General features: G+C 52.7%; 1 protein-coding gene and 1 non-coding gene across 2 annotated transcripts, besides 5 other annotated features; both read left to right on the top strand.

Annotated features, from left to right (window-relative positions):
* Window positions 10,287–11,022: an enhancer, noted in NCBI's record as "H3K27ac-H3K4me1 hESC enhancer chr19:17970267-17971002 (GRCh37/hg19 assembly coordinates)". NCBI's record gives its function as "activates a minimal SCP1, AML or CMV promoter by ChIP-STARR-seq in primed H9 embryonic stem cells {active_cell/tissue: H9 hESC(primed)}" and the evidence as "EXISTENCE:reporter gene assay evidence [ECO:0000049][PMID:30033119]".
* Window positions 10,355–10,734: an enhancer, noted in NCBI's record as "active region_14286". NCBI's record gives its function as "activates an Ori minimal core promoter by ATAC-STARR-seq in GM12878 lymphoblastoid cells {active_cell/tissue: GM12878}" and the evidence as "EXISTENCE:reporter gene assay evidence [ECO:0000049][PMID:35858748]".
* RPL18A (ribosomal protein L18a) lies at window positions 10,739–14,148 on the top strand. The gene is made up of 5 exons (NM_000980.4): window positions 10,739–10,803; window positions 12,122–12,301; window positions 12,923–13,052; window positions 13,747–13,856; window positions 14,000–14,148. Exons 1-5 carry the CDS (start codon window positions 10,786–10,788, stop codon window positions 14,090–14,092), a joined length of 531 nt encoding a protein of 176 aa, NP_000971.1. The 5' UTR covers window positions 10,739–10,785; the 3' UTR covers window positions 14,093–14,148.
* Window positions 12,494–13,230: an enhancer, noted in NCBI's record as "H3K27ac-H3K4me1 hESC enhancer chr19:17972474-17973210 (GRCh37/hg19 assembly coordinates)". NCBI's record gives its function as "activates a minimal SCP1, AML or CMV promoter by ChIP-STARR-seq in naive and primed H9 embryonic stem cells {active_cell/tissue: H9 hESC(naive and primed)}" and the evidence as "EXISTENCE:reporter gene assay evidence [ECO:0000049][PMID:30033119]".
* Window positions 13,231–13,965: an enhancer, noted in NCBI's record as "H3K4me1 hESC enhancer chr19:17973211-17973945 (GRCh37/hg19 assembly coordinates)". NCBI's record gives its function as "activates a minimal SCP1, AML or CMV promoter by ChIP-STARR-seq in primed H9 embryonic stem cells {active_cell/tissue: H9 hESC(primed)}" and the evidence as "EXISTENCE:reporter gene assay evidence [ECO:0000049][PMID:30033119]".
* SNORA68 (small nucleolar RNA, H/ACA box 68) lies at window positions 13,417–13,549 on the top strand. Its single transcript, NR_000012.1, has one exon. It is a non-coding gene; the product is annotated as a small nucleolar RNA, H/ACA box 68 (small nucleolar RNA).
* Window positions 15,705–15,844: an enhancer, noted in NCBI's record as "active region_14287". NCBI's record gives its function as "activates an Ori minimal core promoter by ATAC-STARR-seq in GM12878 lymphoblastoid cells {active_cell/tissue: GM12878}" and the evidence as "EXISTENCE:reporter gene assay evidence [ECO:0000049][PMID:35858748]".

Here is an 18,504-nt window from a genome sequence, read left to right on the forward strand (position 1 = left end):
AGGAGGCCAGGGGCAGGGGTGAGATGAGGGGGAAGGGGACTGCAGGGCGGTCAACAGGGGCAAGATCGTGGGGGGACAGGGGGATCAGGGTCTTTGGGAGAAGGGTGGGTTTTGCCTGGAGCATAATCTGGAGCCACAGGAGAGTTGGAAGTAGGAGCTGTTATAAATAGAAGAGGCAGAAGGCCCGGGCAGCATCCAAATGCAGAGACTTGGGCCAGTGTTCTTAGGATAATAGGATCAGAGCCCCGGAAGTAGAGCTTCAGGAATAGACTGACGAAGTGGTGACCGGGTACAGTGGCTCACATCTGTAATTCCAGCACTTTGGAAGGCCCAGGTGGGAAGATTGCTTGAGCCTAGGAGTTCGAGACCAGCCTGGCCAACATGGTGAAACCCCATCTCTACTAAAAATATAAAAATTAGCTGGGCGTGGTGGCATGTGCCTGTAATCCCAGCTACTTGGGAGGCTGAGGCAGGAGAATCACTGGAACCCAGGAGGCAGGCGGAGGTTGTAGTGAGCTGAGATTGTGCCACCGCACTCCAGCCTGGGCGACGGAGCAATACTCTGTCTCAAAAAAAAAAAAAGGAATAGATTTAAGAAGTTGTGGCCAAGAACAGTGGCTCACACCTGTAATCTCAGCACTTTGGGAGGCTCAGGCAGGAGGATGGCTTGAGCCCAGGTGTTCGAGACCAGCCTGGGCAACATGGTGAAACCCTGTCTCTACAAAAAATACAACAACAACAAAATAATAAGCTGGATGTGGTGGCATGTGCCTGTAGTCCCAGCTACTAGGGGAGGCTGAGGTGGGAGGATCACCTGAGCCCAGGAAGTTGAGGCTGCAGTTAGCTGTGGTCATGCCACTGCACTCCAGCCTGGGCAATGGGAGTGAGATCCCGTCTCAAAAAAAAAAAAAAAAAGACTTTTCATCTCTGTATCACCATCACAAGTCTTAACACAAAATGGTTTGGTAAGTATTTTGTTGATCTTAACTGTTCAATCAGCCAGAGGCTTATTGGACACAGCCTGTGTGCAGGGAATCGGGGACAATGCAGACCCAATCCCTGTCCAGGGGAGCTGACAGTCCAGCAGGGGAGATGGCAATAAACAAGCTATTGCCCAATAATTATATCAGTTGCCCCTGGGACCGGTCTGCTAAGAGAGATGACTGGATCTGGGAGGGCTTCCTGGAGGAGGTGGCTTTGATTCTGAAATCCAACAACAAGTGGGACTAGCCAGAGAGTGACCTGAGAATGTGGGAGTGTGGGCAGTTCTGGCAGGCAGAACAGCCCAGGCAAAGGCCTGGAGGCTTCACGAATTCACAGTGTTCCTGAGAAGAGCAGGATGTCAGGGACACGGGGGGCTGAGACTCATTTGATGGCGTGGGTAGGGCCGCGTGGGTCAAGGGAAAGAGATATAGATTATGTCCTCAGCTTAGTGGAGCTTAGTGGAGCCACAGCTGACCTGCGGCAGGAAGTGCCAAGCAGAAGCTTAGTTGTAGTGTTTTCTTTCACTTCCTGGGTGGCTTCAGCAGACGGGAATGCAACCTTATGTTCTCATCCTTGGCCTGAGGCTGAAGCCTCTGCTTTCCGGAAGTACAGTGAGTTTCTGGGTCTCTGCTACCTCCAGTGTGATGGTTTCTGCAATATTTTGAGAATAAGTAAGAGGAGATTGGGGTGAGGACCAAAGTGGTACCTTCAGCCCCAGAGAAGGGCATGTGAAGGCTCTAAAAGGAAGTTCTGGCCGGGCGCGGTGGCTCACGCCTATAATCCCAGCACTTTGGGAGGCCGAGGCGGGCGGATCGCCTGAGGTTAGGAGTTCGAGACCGGCCTTGCCAACCTGGTGAAACCCCATCTCTACTAAAAATACAAAACGCAGCTGGGTGTGGTGGCGGGCGCCTGCAGTCCCAGCTACTCAGGAGGCTGAGGCAAGAGAATCACTTGAACCTGGGAGGCGGAGGTTGCAGTGAGCCGAGATCGCACAACTGCACTCCAGCCTGGGCGACACAGCAAGACTCCGTATCAAAAAATAAATAAATAAATAAATAATTTTTTTTAAAAAAAGGAAGTTCTGGGGACAGAACCCAGAACTTGCCCGAGAAAAATGGGGCACGTCAGTGATGCAAACACCCAGATTTTTCTGCTGACAAGAAGTCCATAAATACAATCAAAGAATAAAATACAATCAAAGTGTAACTGGAAACAAAATTGAACTCATGGATAAAATATCCTCGTTATATAAGTAACATCTAGAAAGCAGTAAGAAAATGCCAACCAGTTAGGTGGATATGAATCCAGAAGTCAGAGAAAATGGAGGACAAATAGCTCTTAAACCCAGAAAAATTTCCTCAGCTTCACTTGCCAAATGAAAATTAAGAGTACAGTGAGGCAGGGCCAGGCACGGTGGCTCATGCCTGTAATCTGAGCACTTTGGGAAGTCAACATGGGAGGATCATTTGAGCTCAGGAGTTGGAGATTAGCCTGGGCAACATGGTGAGATCCGTCTCTACAAAACATACAAAAATTAGCCAGGCATGGTGGTGTGCACCTGTAGTCTCAGCTACTTGGAAGACTGAAGTGGGAGGATGGCTTGAGTCCAGGAGGCAGAGGTTGCAGGGAGCCAAGATAGTGCCACTGTACTCCAGCCTGGGCGACAGAGCGAGACTACATCTCAAAAACAAAAACAAAAATGGTAAAAGACTGAATAACTTCCTCCTGAGATTGGAAACAAGACAAGGATGTCCATTTTCACCACCTCTATTCAACATTGTTCTGGTGATGTTAGCCACTGTAATAAGAAAAGAAAAAGCAGGCTGAGGCAGGAGAATGGTGTGAACCAGGGAGGCGGAGCTTGCAGTGAGCCAAGATCGGGCCACTGCACTCCAGCCTGGGTGACAGAGTGAGACTCCGTCTAAAAAAAAAAAAAAAGAAAGAAAGAAAAGAAAAGCTGGGCATGGTGGCTCACGCCTGTAATCCCAGCACTTTGGGAGGCTGAGGTGGGAGAATCACAAGGTCAGGAGTTCAAGACCAGCCTGATCAACATGGTGAAACCCCATCTCTACTAAAAATACAAAAATTAGCCAGGCATGGTAAAAATACAAAAATTAGCCGTGCGTGGTGATGCGCGCCTGTAATCCCAGCTACTCAGGAGGCTGAGGCAGGAGAATCGCTTGAACCCGGGAGGTGAAGGTTGCAGTGAGCCAAGATCGCGCCACTGCACTCCAGCCTAGGTGACAGAGGGAGACTCTGTCTCAAAAAAAAAAAAAAAATTAAAAATTGGCAGGGTGTGATAGCTCACACCTGTTGTCCCAGCTATTTGGGAGGCTGAGGATTGCTTGAGTCAGGGAGGACAAGGCTGCAGTAAGCCATCATCACACCATTACACTCCAGTCTGGGCAACAGAGCGAGATCCTGTCTTAAAACAAAAAAATATATGAGAAAAATAAACAAGTCAGGTGTGGCTGGGCATGGTGATACATGCTTGTAGCCTCAGCTACTGGAGAAGCTGAAATGGGAGCCCAAGAATTTAAAGGCAACATAGCAAGATTCTGTAACAAGCAAAACAGAATAAAATAAGTAATAAAAAAAAGGTAAATAAAACTGTTGCTATTTGCTGATGATATGATTGTTTATGTCAAAAACCCAAGGGAATCTATAAGACAACTACTGAAATTAATACATAAATTCAGCAAGTTACCAGGTTTAAAAAGTCCGTTGAATTCAATACAAAAGTCAATTGAATTTTTATACACCAGCAGCAAACAATTGGAACATAAAAAAATTTTGAAAAATTTCCTTTGCAGCAGCACTGAAAAAGATAAAATACTGTGATGGTCTGAGAGTTTGCGTCTCCCCAAAATTAATACATTGAAATCCTAACCTCGAAGGCGGTGGTATTCAGAATCGGAACCTTTTAAGAGGTGATTAGATCATGAGGGTTGAGCTCTCATGAATGGGATTAATGCCCTTATAAAAGAGGCCCCTAGGCTGGGCATGGTAGCTCACGCCTGTAATCCCAGCACCCTGGGAGAATTGCAGGCTGGTCTCTGACAAACAACTTGTGTTTGAGACCAGCCTGGGCAATGTGGCGAAACACCACCTCTACCAAAAAAAACACAAAAATTAGCTGGGCATGGTGGTGCACACCTGTAGTCCCAGGTCAGGAGTTTGAGGCCAGCCTGATCAACGTGGAGAAACCCCATCTCCACTGACAAAACAAAATTAGCTGGATGTGGTGGTGCATGCCTGTAATTCCAGCTACTTGGGAGGCTGAGGTGGGAGAATCGCTTGAACCCAGGAGGTGGAGGCTGCGGTAAGCCGAGATCACACCATTGCACTCCAGCCTAGGCAACAAGAGCAAAACTCTGTCTCAAAAAAAAAAAAAAAAAAAAAAAAGGCCGGGTGCAGTGGCTCATGCCTGTAATCTTAGCACTTCGGGAGGCCAAGGTGGGTGGATCACCTCAGGTCAGGAGTTCAAGACCAGCCTGGCCAACATGGTAAAACCCCGTCTCTGCTAAAAATACAAAAATTAGCTGGGTGTGGTGGCGCACGCCTGTAATCTCAGCTACTCTGGAGGCTGAGGAAGGAGAATCGCTTGAACTCGGGAGGTGGAGGTTGCAGTGAGCTGAGATCGCGCCACTGCATTGCACTCAAGGTTGCGTGACAGGAAAGAGGCTACATCTCAAAAAAAAAAAAAAAAAAAAAAGAAGGCCAGGGACCTGGAGTCCGGAGTGCATACAAGTGGGTGGCTTTGCAGTGTTTTGAGGACCAACGGTCAGAAACCAAGATTTGGGTGTCTTGGGCCCAGCCTTGGGAAGGCACTGGTGCCAGTAACTGAGATGAGGGAAAGAGTGGGAAGGATGAGGCACATCAGCATTGTGAACGCTCCGTGATCCAAGCTGTGGCTTGGCCCAGGATCCTGGATGAACAAACTGGTGCCTTCAAAGTCCCTGGGAAAAAGACAGGGGGGACAGGGGTGCCCTTGGACAGCCCTGCTAACCAGGAACTCCTCGCCTGGGCCCCACTGGATGGTGATAACAGAGACACAGAGTAGCCCAGGACCAGCCTGCTCAGGTCAGATTCCTGCATGGCCCGAGGTGGGGGCAGAGGAATCCTGCCAGGCCAGGTGTGTCACTAGGAAGCCGGGGCCACGGCATCACTCAGGCACCGACAACATGTAAAAGAAAGAAAAATAATAAAGCTTTTTTTTTTCTTTTAAATTAAGACAGTTTCACTCTGTTGCCCAGGCTGGAGTGCAGCGGCATGATCTTGGTTCACTGCAACCTCTGCCTCTAGGGTTCAAGTGATTCTCGTGCCTCAGCCTCCCGAGTAGCTGGGATTACAGGTGTGTGTCACTGCACCCAGCTAATTTTTGTATTTTTGGTAGAGACGGGGTTTCACCATGTTGGCCAGGCTGGTCTCGACTCCTGACCTCAAGTGACCTGCCCGCTTCAGCCTCCCAAAGTGCTGGGGTTACAGATATGAGCCACTGTGCCCAACCAAAAAGAAAAATAATAAAGCTCTGGGCCGGGCGCGGTGGCTCACGCCTGTAATCCCAGCATTTTGGGAGGCTGAGGTGGGTGGATTATCTGAGGTCAGGAGTTCAAGACCAGCCTGTCCAACATGGTGAAACCCCGTCTCTACTAAAATTACAAAAATTAGCCGGGCGTGGAGGCAGATGCCTGTAATCCCAGCTACTCAGGAGGCTGAGGCAGGAGAGGATGGCTTGAACCCAGGAGGCAGAGGCTGCAGTGAGCTGAGATTGTGCCACTGCATTCCAGCCTTGGCAATGGAGTGAGACTCCGTCTCAAAAAAAAAAAAAAAAAGGAAACAAGAAACCCTGTCTCTACAAAAATTAGCCAGGCATGATGATGGGTGCCTGTAATCCCAGCTACTCTGGAGGGTGAGGCAGGAGAATCGCTTGAACCTGGGAGGCAGAGGCTACGGTGAGATGAGATCACGCCATTGCATTCCAGCCTGGGGAACAGAGTGAGACTCCATCTCAAAAAAAAAAAGAAACTAAAGAAAAATAATAAAGCTTTGAAACAAACAGCACATCACGACCCGTGCCCTTCCCCACCCTGGCATGCCCCTCCCTCCACTCCAACCCAGGCCTTGAAGGCAGAAGCACGAGGCCCCAAGGCCAGGGCTGGGTCTCAGGGATCTCCCTCTCGTCTTCTTCCTCCTCCCCTGTCCTCCCTAAATTCCTTTTCCTGCCCCGTTCCTGCTGTCCCAGGATCCAATTTGTGCTCCAGGCTGCGCTCTGCCCTTTCCAGCATCTCTTTCCACCTGCTTGTAGCCGCTCAGCACTTTGGGGAAACTGAGGCCAGAGCGGTGAGTTCCAGCACAGAGGGAAGGGCAGGGCCTCAACCTTCCCAGTCCAAACAATCATACGCCATTTAAATCTCACAACAACCCTAAAAGCTGGCGACTATTATTGGCCTCATTTTGTGGAAGGGGAAACTGAGGCCCAGAGCGGCAACGCGGCCAGCGAACCATCGGTAAGATTTGAACCTGGTTGTGTATCATTCAACGGTCTAGCGCTTGGCCTCAGCTGGGCCACCGCAGATGGGACATGGTTCTGCTGCCACCTGGTGGACACTCGCGGCAGCGCTGTTGGGATAGAGCCGCCTCTCACCTGACGTCCTGCCCCGAAAAGCCCAGCCAGAGGAGGGCTGACCTGCTCCCCTGGCCTCCCTGCCCCGCATCACGCCCATCAGTTTTCCGAATTTTCACAGTCTAAGTGTCCACCAGGAAGGGACTGGGTAACTAACCACCTGTGCTACAGTTGGGCTAAAGATTTTAGTGCAAAAGTTAATTTGCCCACCTCACAAGAAATACTAAAAAAATGTATATTTTTTCGAGACAGAGTCTCACTCTGTTGCCCAGGCTGGAGTACAGTGGCACAATCTCGGCTCACTGCAACCTCCGACTCCCAGGCTCAAGCGATTCTCATGCCTCAGCCTCTCAAGTAGCTGGGACTACAGGCACCCGCCACAATACCCAGCTAATTTTTGTATTTTTTAATAGAAGCGGGGTTTCACCATGTTGGCCAGGCTGGTCTCGAGCTCCTGACCTCAGGTGATCCACCCACCTGGGCCTCGCAAGGTGCTGGGATTACAGGCGAGAGCCACCGTACCCACCCAAAATAAATTCTTTAGGCTGAAAACAAGGGACCCCAGACATGTATTCCAATCCACGTGAAAATCTGAAGAACACATATAAAGGTAATGTATGTAATTTTAAAAGATTGCATAAGGCCGGGTGCTTTGGCTCACGCCTGTAATCCCAACACTTCAGGAGGCTGAGGTGGGCAGATCAATTGAGCCTAGGAGTTCAAGACCAGCCTGGGCAACACAGAGAGACCTTGTCTCTACAAAAAATACAAAACTTGGCCGGGCACGGTGGCTCACACCTGTAATCCCAGCACTTTGGGAGGCCGAGGCGGGTGGATCACGAGGTCAGGAGTTTAAGGAAAAAAATATAAAACTTAGCTGGGTTTCATGGCATCCGTCCTAACTACTCGGGAGGTCTGAGGTGGGAGAATCTCTTGAACCTGGGAGTTCGAGGCTGCAGTGAACAGAGATCTCGCCACTGCACTCCAGCCTGGGCAACAGAGTGAGATCCTGTATCAAAAAAATAAGGCTGGGCACAATGGCTCACGCCCATGATCCCAGCACTTTGGGAGGCCGAGGCAGGCAGATCACGAGGTCAGGAGATTGAGACCATCGTGGCTAACATGGTGAAACCCCATCTCTACTAAAAATACAAAAAATTAGCCGGGCATGGTGGCGGGCACCTGTAGTCCCAGCTACTCGAGGGGGCTGAGGCAGGAGAATGGCATGAACCCGGGAGGCGGAGATTGCAGTGAACTGAGATCACGCCACTGCACTCCAGCCTGGGTGACAGAGTGAGACTCCGTCTCAAAAAATAATAATAATAAATAAATAAAAATAAGATCTGCCAGTGACAGTGGCTCATGCCTGTTATCCCAGCATGTTCGGAGGCCATGACGGGCAGACCACTTGAGGTCAGGAGTTCAAGACCAGCCATAGCCAACATGGCGAAACTCTTGTCTCTACTAAAAATTAAAAAAAAAATTAGCCAGGCATGGTGCCGCACATCTGCAATTTCAGCTACTTGGGAGGCTGAGGCAGGAGAATCATTTGAACCTGGGAGGCAGAGGTTGCAATGAGCCAAGATTGCACCACTGCCCTCCAGCCTGGGTAATGGAGTGAGACCCTGTCTCAAAATAAATAAATAAAAATAAAATGTAGCATAAATGCAAATTTCTTCTCTCTTTGCCTCTTAACATATTTAAAAAGCAATTGTACAAAACTATATATTGGCCGGGCCCGGTGGCTCATGCCTGCAATCCCAGCACTTTGGGAGGCTGAGGTGGGCATATCACCTGAGGTTGGGAGTTCGAGACCAGTCTGGCCAACATGGTGAAACCCCCTCTCTACTAAAAATACAAAACATTAGCCGGGTGTGGTGGTGCACGCCTGTAATCTCAGCTACTCAGGAGGCTGAAGCAGGAGAATTGCTCGAACCTGGGAGGTGGAGGTTGCAGTGAGCCGAGATCATGCCACTGCAATCTAGCCTGGGTGACAGAGCGAGACTCTGTCTCAAAAAAACAAAAAACAAACAAAAAAACAGGCTGGGTGCGGTGGCTCATGCCTGTAATCCCAGCACTTTGGGAGGCCGAGGCGGGTGGGTCACCTGAGGTCAGGAATCTGAGACCAGCCTGGCCAACCCAGTAAAACCCTATCTCTACTAAAAATACAAAAAATTAGCCAGGCGTGGTGGTGCACGCCTGTAGTCCCAGTTACTCGGGAGGCTGAGGCAGGAGAATCGCTTGAACCTGGGAGGCAGAGGTTGCAGTGAGCTGAGATCACGCTGCTGCACTCCAGCCTGGGCGACAGAGCTAAACTCCATCTCAAAACAACAACAACAACAACAACAAACTATATATTAATTGTATTGTTGGGTCTACAATATAGAGAAAGGTAACATATTTGACATTAACGGCACAAAGGAGGTGAAGGGAGCCAAGTTGTACTGGAATAAGAAAATCATTGGGCCGGGCGCGGTGGCTTACGCCTGTAATCCCAACACTTTGGGAGGTGGAGGCAGGCGGATTACCTGAGGTCAGGAGTTCGAGACCAGCCTAACCAACATGGTAAAACCCTGTGTCTACTAAAAATACAAAAATTACCTGGGCATCGTGGCGGGCGCCTGTAATCCCAGCTACTCTGGAGGCTGAGGCGGGAGAATTGCTTGAACCCAGGAGGCAGAGGTTGCAGTGAGCCGAGATAGCGCCACTGCACTCTGGCCTGGGGAAAAGAGTAAGACTCAGTCTCAAAAAATAAAAGAAAAAGAAAAGAAAAGAAAATCACACCCAGTAGTGACTTGAATCCACAAAACCAGATTAAGAGAACCAGAAATGCAAAATAAGAAAATGAAAATAAAAAATTGCATGCTTGCTGTCCTTTATTTTCTTTCTTTCTTTCTTTCTTTTTTTTCTGAGTCGGAGTCTCGCCCTGTCTCCCAGGCTGGAGTGCAATGGCCAGATCTCGGCTTACTACAACCTCCATCTCCCAGGTTCAAGCGATTCTTCTGCCTTAGCCTCCCGAGTAGCTGGGATTACAGGCGCCCGCCACCACGCCCGGCTAATTTTTGTATTTTTAGTAGAGACGGGGTTTCGCCATGTTGGCCAGGCTGGTCTCGAACTCCTGACCTCAAGTGATCCACCCGCCTCGGCCTCCCAAAGTGCTGGGATGACAGGCGTGAGCCACCGCGCCTGGTCTTTTTTTTTTTTTTTTTTTTTTGAGACAGAGTCTCACTCTGTCGCCCAGGCTGGAGTACAGTGGCGCAATCTCGGGTCACTGCAACCTCTGGCTCCTGGGTTCAAACGATTCTCATGCCTCAGCCTCCTGCCTCTTTCCTCTTAATTTTACTTCATAGCCTTGTCATCAGGGAGTTGTTTGCGGGTGTTTCTTTTTTCATATCTGGTCCCCGTCCTCATCCCCAGGAGGGCTTCTTTCTGCCCAAGCAAACTGCTAAGTCCAAGCCCCTCAAAGTGGGCGGCTGGATCTTGATCCATTCTCCGGCTCTCCGCGCGCTCTCCCCCAACCCCTGCTCCCTCAGGTTCTTATGAACTGGAGGCAGACAGACAGAGTTTGAATCCCAGCTACTACGAAACACAAATCGGACCCCAAATTAACAAAAACAGCATTCCAGAGCTTATTCAATATTCGTGCTGCAACATCGCTAGGAGAAAAATATATTATTTGTATTCCCATTTTACAGATACCCTCAGGTATCTGGTGGAGACCTCCGTAACACACCTCCCCGGAGGATGAGGCCCCGAGTGTGAAGCATCGGGATCTCACGGTAAACACCGCAGCCACCCGAGGTAGCTTAGGTTCAATGCTTAGGCATCCTGCAGGCGGCGCGCGCCGCCGCCCCTAGTTGCAGCCGGGACTGGCGGAGTGCCTACAACTCCCGACGTGCCGCGCGCGCAGACGCTCCGTTGCGGTCGTGGTGGAACAGGTGGAGCTTGCCTCGTTGCCTTCTGGGAAACGAAGTCTCGCTGAAGAGAGGCGGAACTTTGAGTAGCAGGTGGATCCATAGCCAATGAAGACGCGGGTCGCTTTGAGTGCGGGGCAGAGAAGCCAATGGACGTGCGGCATTGAGAGGGCGGGTCTTCCGGTAGTGAAGGCCTGGTGAACGGCTGCGCGACAGAGGACACTTCCTTTTGCGGGTGGCGGCGAACGCGGAGAGCACGCCATGAAGGCCTCGGGCACGGTAAGGCGGGCGCGGCGCGGCAGGGGGCCAAGGGATGGGGCACGGGCCCCATCAGGGGCCTGCATAAGTGGCGTGGGCCGGGTTGGTGCCGCGCGCTTCTGTTTGGGCCCCCCTTGGCCGCGCGCCGCCTTCTCTTGTTGCACCCAACATGGCGGCCATCGTGGGAGCCGCGTGGAGAGAGCGATGCGTGACCTGGGCCAGCTCAGGGATCGCGGGGGCCCAAGGACTCCGGGTCTTCTTCCCGGGGGAAGGAATAAGTCGCGCAGCATAGAGGCCCTAGCCCCGGCACCTCGTCGAGCCGCCAAGTTTCTGTTTTCCTTTCTGCAACGTGGACGTGGCGGTAGAGCAATAGTGTGTTTTCTTTCTGCCGGAATGGCTGTGAGAAGCAGATGAAAATTGCTAACAGTGAGCCGAAACGGGGAGCGTGAGGCTTAACGCTGTGGTACATACTGGATAGAATCAAACGGCTCTATGGCGCAGAGATAGGAGAACCTGGACTCCCATGGAGTGGGTGTATTATGTCCAGATCTCCAGCTTCGGTTTCCTTGCTGTCAAAGGGGCGGGCCCCATTGTTCCCTTCCTGAACGTGTGCCGAGGCCGGTGGGTCAGGTTCACAGTAAAAGTAGGAACTGCGATAATTTGTGACTATTTTTCATTGATAACTAGTGAAAAGCTGGCGAGTCAGTTTCAGAGGTGGTTTCTTTGTGCCATATCACAGAGCCTGGACTTGACCAAAGATTCTCACCTCTGCATCTGTAAACCGGGAGTCTTCCCTGGGCCAAACGTTTGGATTGCAGTTGGGAAAACGGAGGCAGCCGCAGCTCGCGTGGCAACAGTGCAGGGATCCCAGGGCTGGGGAGAGACCTGAGGTCTTGTCCTAGTTCTGCCTGGAATGGGCTGTGAGATCCCATGCTGGTCACTGGGCCTCAGGGTGAAAGAAGATGTTGGCTGGATGTTTTGAGGTGCAGAGTGGCTGTTTGACGGCGACTGCAAAGCAATTCAGGACTGCAGCATGAAGAAAGGAGGCTGTGGGTCTAAGCCACAGCTTTCCTGGTCTGAAACCCTTAGCCCAGGCAAAGGAGAGGCAGGCAACTCAATTAATCCTCCCTGGAGACCTCCCTCTCCTCAGTTCATTTTGTGTATAAAGTTGTGGTCGGGAGTGTGACCTACAGTCACCAAGAATCCACATGGAGGCCCTAGGGTGGCCCTGCCTCCTGCTTCCCGAATCTGTGGTCACTAGATGTAGGAAAGGGAGTGAGGTGGATCTCCACAGTTGCCTCTGGGTGCTGGCCTTACCCTCACTCCTGTTTCCTTTCAGCTACGAGAGTACAAGGTAGTGGGTCGCTGCCTGCCCACCCCCAAATGCCACACGCCGCCCCTCTACCGCATGCGAATCTTTGCGCCTAATCATGTCGTCGCCAAGTCCCGCTTCTGGTACTTTGTATCTCAGTTAAAGAAGATGAAGAAGTCTTCAGGGGAGATTGTCTACTGTGGGCAGGTATGGAGAGGCCGGGGCTACGTGGGGTCTGGAGTGGATTTGCGCCTCTTGGGACATCGTGCATCTCAAGAATTAATCAGACATCGAACGGGTGCGGTAGCTCAACGCCTGTAATCCCATCACATCAGACATCAGAGCCCCGGGTTGTGTTTCTGCCTGGGTCACGGGACTGGAGCAGAGCTTATGTGCCATTTCCCTGATTAGAAAGCCAGGGACCCAGGGAGCGGGTGGGTGGCATGGTGGGACACCTTGGTTGGTGCTGTCTTCCCTGGGCCCTGTCTGTTAAGTGAGGAGAGGTGATGGCTATCTGGTCAGTGGGTGGTAGCTAGGTTGGCCCAGACAGGTTCCAGGAGACTTGAGTTCAGGAACTGCATCTGGGGCTGGGTTGGTGTCCGTGGCAGAAGCCTGGACTTCAGGCTGTTGCCATGGGAAGTTCCCTTACCTCACGCTCCCTGAGGATGCCTGAAGGTAGGTGGGGCTGGGAAACTGAGGCACAAGAGTCTGGCCATAGAGTAGGCCTGGAGCCTGGGGTGTGCTTTAGAGGCAGAGGGTTCAGTGAGGATGGGGCTAGGGCACATCGGCTTGCTGCTCTCACATCTCCCTGTGGCCTCTCCTTGGCAGGTGTTTGAGAAGTCCCCCCTGCGGGTGAAGAACTTCGGGATCTGGCTGCGCTATGACTCCCGGAGCGGCACCCACAACATGTACCGGGAATACCGGGACCTGACCACCGCAGGCGCTGTCACCCAGTGCTGTAAGCTGCCTGTCCCGCCTCCAGCTTTTTAGACCCTCCTTGACTCCCTCACACTGAGGCAGGGCAAGTGCCAGAGGTTCCCAGTGCAGGAGAGTCTCAGGACTGGTGGCGGGGCACAGGAAGACAAAAGGATGCCCCAGGCCCCAGATGGCGCTTTTCTGAGAGCCCTGCCAGGCTCGGTTGTAAATCACATCACATCTGGAAACTCCCTTTTTGGGTCTGCACCTTGTTTAGACTGGGATCCACATCACCACTGTTTTCTGGGACCCACTGAGAACCGAATTGAACCCCTGCCTAGTGTTGGGAGCTGGCACCTTTTCCCTGGCTCACCTGCCAGGGTCTGTGAGACCCCCACACCTCCCTGATTGCACCTAAACCCAAGAATCACTGTTTCTTATAGCGGTGGTTTAAACAGAGGTGCAAACAGCAAGCGGATCTTGTCGCCTTTGGGGGGCTGTGGCCGTGCCCCTCAAAGTGAATTTGGAGGTTCCACAACTCTAGTGGCCAGTGACTGCAGGGACCCAGGCCTTGGGCTATCTCGCTTCCCCACCACCACCTTCCCGTGAGCCCCGAGCCCTCAGGCAGTTGCTGTGACCAACAGGATGTGTCAGGTCATTGGGCAGGCACTCAGGAGGTTTGCTGAATGCCCAGAGCCCAGGCAACACCGTCACCCTGGCCCCGCTCCTTTCCACAGACCGAGACATGGGTGCCCGGCACCGCGCCCGAGCCCACTCCATTCAGATCATGAAGGTGGAGGAGATCGCGGCCAGCAAGTGCCGCCGGCCGGCTGTCAAGCAGTTCCACGTGAGTGCCCTGGGGGACTCCCCTGGAGGGAAGTGCCTGCTCTGACGCAGGAGCCCAGTGGGGGGCGGCTACACCTTGGTGGCCCCACAGGATGGGGTGTTAAGAGGCTTCCAACCCCCTCAACATGCCTCCCTTCCTCACAGGACTCCAAGATCAAGTTCCCGCTGCCCCACCGGGTCCTGCGCCGTCAGCACAAGCCACGCTTCACCACCAAGAGGCCCAACACCTTCTTCTAGGTGCAGGGCCCTCGTCCGGGTGTGCCCCAAATAAACTCAGGAACGCCCCGGTGCTCGCCGCATGTTTTCTTTGCACACTGCAGAGCTCAAAGGGGTGCTATGAGAGGCCGGCCCAGTCAGCTCCTGGGGTGCAGCTGAGCTGCCATTTCTTTGTCCTGGGAGGGGTCTTCAGTGCAAACAAACAAACCCTCACATCCTCCTGTCCTGGAGTGGGCCCTCCAGGCGCCCCCACCCCTGAGCTCCCTCTTGCTTGGTCAGTTCTCAGCCCTGCTGGCAGCCCTGGGCTATGAGCTGCAGGGGTACTGTCTGTCCTGGGCCCTAAATCTGTCCCAACTGCCTTGTGAGACACAGGCCTCCCAGGCTCCCCTGCTGAGTCTGGACCAGGGAGAATCTCCCTAGATAGTGGGGTTGGCGTTCACTCCCTGGGGATTCTCCTAAGTCTCTGGTTCCCAAAGTTTTCAGAGTAGACACAAGTGGGCACCCGAGGGGCGCTCTCTGCTGCTTGGGGGCTGTTTCCCTTTCACTGGTTGGGGGCCTCTTAGATGACGCCCTCATCTTGCCCAAGGAGGTCAAGGACTCACCACAGGTACTCATCTCTGGGAAACTGCCTCAGGCCTGGAAAATTCCAGGCATGACACTAATCCCACCCTGGCTGAGTCCTTCTGTCAGGTGGAGGCTAAGCTGGCATTGGAGAAGTTTGAGACACAGCCAAGAGCTCAGGCTCTGGGAGCCTCCCATCCTTTGTTGCGTGACCTTGGGCAGCCCTGTTCTGGGCCAGCGGCCCTTCTGGGGCTTGCTGTCTTGATCTCAACATCGGGTTCCACATTGATGTGGGAAGTGACGCTGTGCAGGTGCTGGGGTCAGCCTATGGGGCCCTCCTTTGTCCCAGAGAGCCCAGGACCAGGAGGAAGCCAGGACTAGGTAGTAGTTACGGCTTTTTGAAACAGGGTCTTGCTCTGTCGCCCTGGCTAGAGTGCAGTGGAGAGATCGTGGCTTACTGTAGCCTCGACCTCCTGGGCTCAAGTGGTCCTCCTGCCTCAGCCTCCCAAGTAGCTGGGACTACAGGGGCACCACCACACTCAGGGCAAGGACACAGCCTTTCCTCTACCTGTGGAGGAGCTGTGTGGTTTCCAGGAAACCAGGCCTTTTCCAGCCTCACCTGTGGGGTGTTGTAACACCCAGGAACTTGGAGAGGCGCCCAGAACCTGGGCAGGGTCAGCACACAAGCACCCATTCTGCGTAAGACCCAGGCCTGAGGACAGCCCTGTAGACCACAGAACCCCACGGGTCCCGTCCCCAACAACTGGCTCCTTCCCACCCTAGGGCCTTCGCACTTGCCTGGAATACTACAGATTCCCCCAGGCTGGCCTCACTCGAGTTTTACAAACTGCACGTGGGTTCCCGGGACTGGGCTATATTTGATTTCTATCCCCCACTAGTTCTGAGAGGGCAGGGGCTGTGTGTGTCACCCAGTGTATCCAGGAGGGGCTCAACTTTCCATGGTATCCTTTTTGTTTCGTGAAAGCTCTTTACATATGCGGGGCAAAAGCTTGAGAAGAGTCATACATTTTCCCAGGATATCTTTCTTTTTTTGAGACGGAGTCGCGCTTGGTTGCCCATGCTGGAGTGCAGTGGCACAGTCTCAGCTCACTGCAACCTCTGCCTCCCAGGTTCAAGGGATTCTCCTGCCTCAGCCTCCAGAGTAGCTAGAATTACAGGTGCCTGCCACCACGCCTGGCAAATTTTTTGTATTTTTAGTACAGACGGGGTTTCACCATGTGGGCCGGGCTAGTCTGGAACTCGACCTCATGCCACCTGCTTTGGCCTCCCAAAGTGCTGGGATTACAGGTGTGAGCCACCCCGCCTAGCCCAGGATATCTTTTGATGTTCCTTAGAGTATATTGGATGGGGGGTGCTAGCTGGAAATCTTAAAATTTTGCCTGAATTTCATTCATCTTGTGGTTTCTAGTACAAACTCTCCTTTCTCCATAAGGGAATCTTCATACTTAAGTGCCACCCAGAAAAGAAAATACATTTCCTAACCTCCATAGCTATGGCCAGGTGTGGCTCATGGCTGTCATCTCAGCACTTTGGGAGGCTGAGGTAGGAGGATCACTTGAGGCCAGGAGTTTGAGACCAGACTGGTAGACATAGTGAGACCCTGTCTTTACCAAGTAACATTAGCTGGGTGTTGCGGTGCACACCTGTAGTCCCAGCTACACGGGGGCCTGAGGTGTGAGAATCACTTGAGCCTGGAGGTTGAGGCTGCAGTGAACCATGATCATGCCACTGTACTCCAGCCTGGAAACAAGACGAGACCAAACAAAACAAAAATACAGTACTGATGTGCCATTTCTGAGAAAGAACGCCTCTGGCTGGTGTGGACATGATGGCCAGTGCTGCAGCAGTCATTTTGGACTATGAAGAAGCAACACACAGGAGCAGTGAGGGAGAAGGATCTCCGGTACTTGACCCTGTGCAGTGCTGCCCCCGTCCCTGAGGCTTGACCCTTCTACCCCCTTGATTAGAACACGGGGAGGAGACATGAGTCCTGCTTAGGCTGTAATGGAGCTGCTCTGTTAGATGTGACCTTACCTTACCTTGAGCTGGGCCTGAAGCAGGGCGTGGCACTGTGGACTCAGGCCGTAACTGCCTGGAAGTCCCTGCCCTCTCTGAGCCATTTCTTCCTGTATAAAGTGAGGGCGGTGATCCCTCCAGGCTGCAGGGCAGGCGAGGTGATATTAGGTGAGTTGGAGGATGAGAGATCAGGAGAGTGGAAGGCTCACGGCCCCACCAAAGCCCACTGCATACCCTCATCTCCACCTCAGTCCCCTCCCTGTGCCTTGGAGCCCCTCCAGGGCTTCAACCACGTGGCAGCAGCCTGGGAACCACTTGGGAGAGCTCTGCCCCAACCAGCTGAGACATGGAGGCCAATCCCATTATTGAGGGGCCATTGACAGGATGAATGTGCTCCCAGATCACTAGCCTGCACCTATTCACCTACCTTGGCACACTCAGCCTCTCATAAATGTGCCCAGAAGCCCCTCTACCACCGAATTCCCCCACCCCCTGCCAAACCCCATCCTTCCATTCAGTCAGATTCCTCCACCATCCAACCAGCTACCTGTCCATCCATTCGTCCACTCAATCCACCCACCCCATCCATTCATCCTTCCACTCATCCACCTACCCATCCATCCATCCACCCAACCATCCAGCCATCCATCCAGCTATCCACCCACCCACCCATCCATCAACTCACCCATCCATCCATCCACCCATCTATCCATCCATCCATCTACCCACCCACCCATCCACCCACCTGCCCATCAACCCACCCACCCATCTATCCATCCATCCATCCATTCACCCATTCAACCACCCACCAGTCGATACATACATCCATTTATCCATCCATCCATCTATCCACCCACCCATCCATCCATTTACACATCCTCCCATCTGTCATGTCAAATCCTCTACCCAAACTCCACGCGCCCACCCCCACCCCACACACACCATCCCTTTGTTGCAGCCTCAATTGTCCTTGAGTCCCTACTTTGTGCAGGGGCCTGCGTTAATTCCGGTGTGGGTGATTGAAGGAATAGACAGACCCTGGTTCTTTCTCAGGAGGGAGAGGAACAGTCACAACCCCATGCAGAGGCTGGGCGTGGTGGTGGTGTGCCCATAGTCCCAGCTACTTGGGAGTCTGAGGCAGGAGGATCACTTGAGCCCAGAAGGTTGAAGTTGCAGTGAGCCGTAACCTCTCCACTGCACTCCAGCCTGGGCAACAGAGCGAGCCCCTGTCTCAGAAAAACAAATAGAAAAAATAAGCAAACAAAAAGAACTGCCCCTGGCTGTTGAGAGAAGGTACAAGACCAACCAGAGCAAAAGCCCTGGGTCTGGGCAGAAATGGATCCTTTCACGTGGCTGTGAGTGGGGCCAATAAGGCAGAGGCTGGCCAGCGAGAACCTGGATGTCCGCTGGGGTCTGGAGCAGGACAGGTCCTACCCGGGCTCACCCAGTTAACCCAAGGATAAGCAAGGGCAGGAATCCAGGAACTCCTCCCACCTCCTCAGGTGCTGAGGCGCTCCTGGGTCTCGTTCCTGGGCTTGTCAAGGTGCCAGGTGTCACCTCAGTAGGGCCGTGATCCCTGGGGGAGCGACATTCAAAGCCTCCCCTCCCTGACCCGCCCTGCACTTCTGCTCCTGAGTCAGAACCAGTGGGGACAAAGGCAGTGCCAAAGCAGGACAGACGAGTAGGGACCCCAAGAGACCCCAGCCCCAGTTCCTGCAACCAAGAGAGACTATATGAGAATCACAGAATCTGAGACTCACAGTTGAGTCTCAGGACTTAGAATTATGGAATCTTTTTTTTTTTTTTTTTTTTTTTGAGATGGAGTTTCACTCTTG

This window comes from Homo sapiens, chromosome 19, assembly GCF_000001405.40.
Source record: "Homo sapiens chromosome 19, GRCh38.p14 Primary Assembly".
NCBI classification, from domain to species: Eukaryota; Metazoa; Chordata; class Mammalia; order Primates; family Hominidae; genus Homo; species Homo sapiens.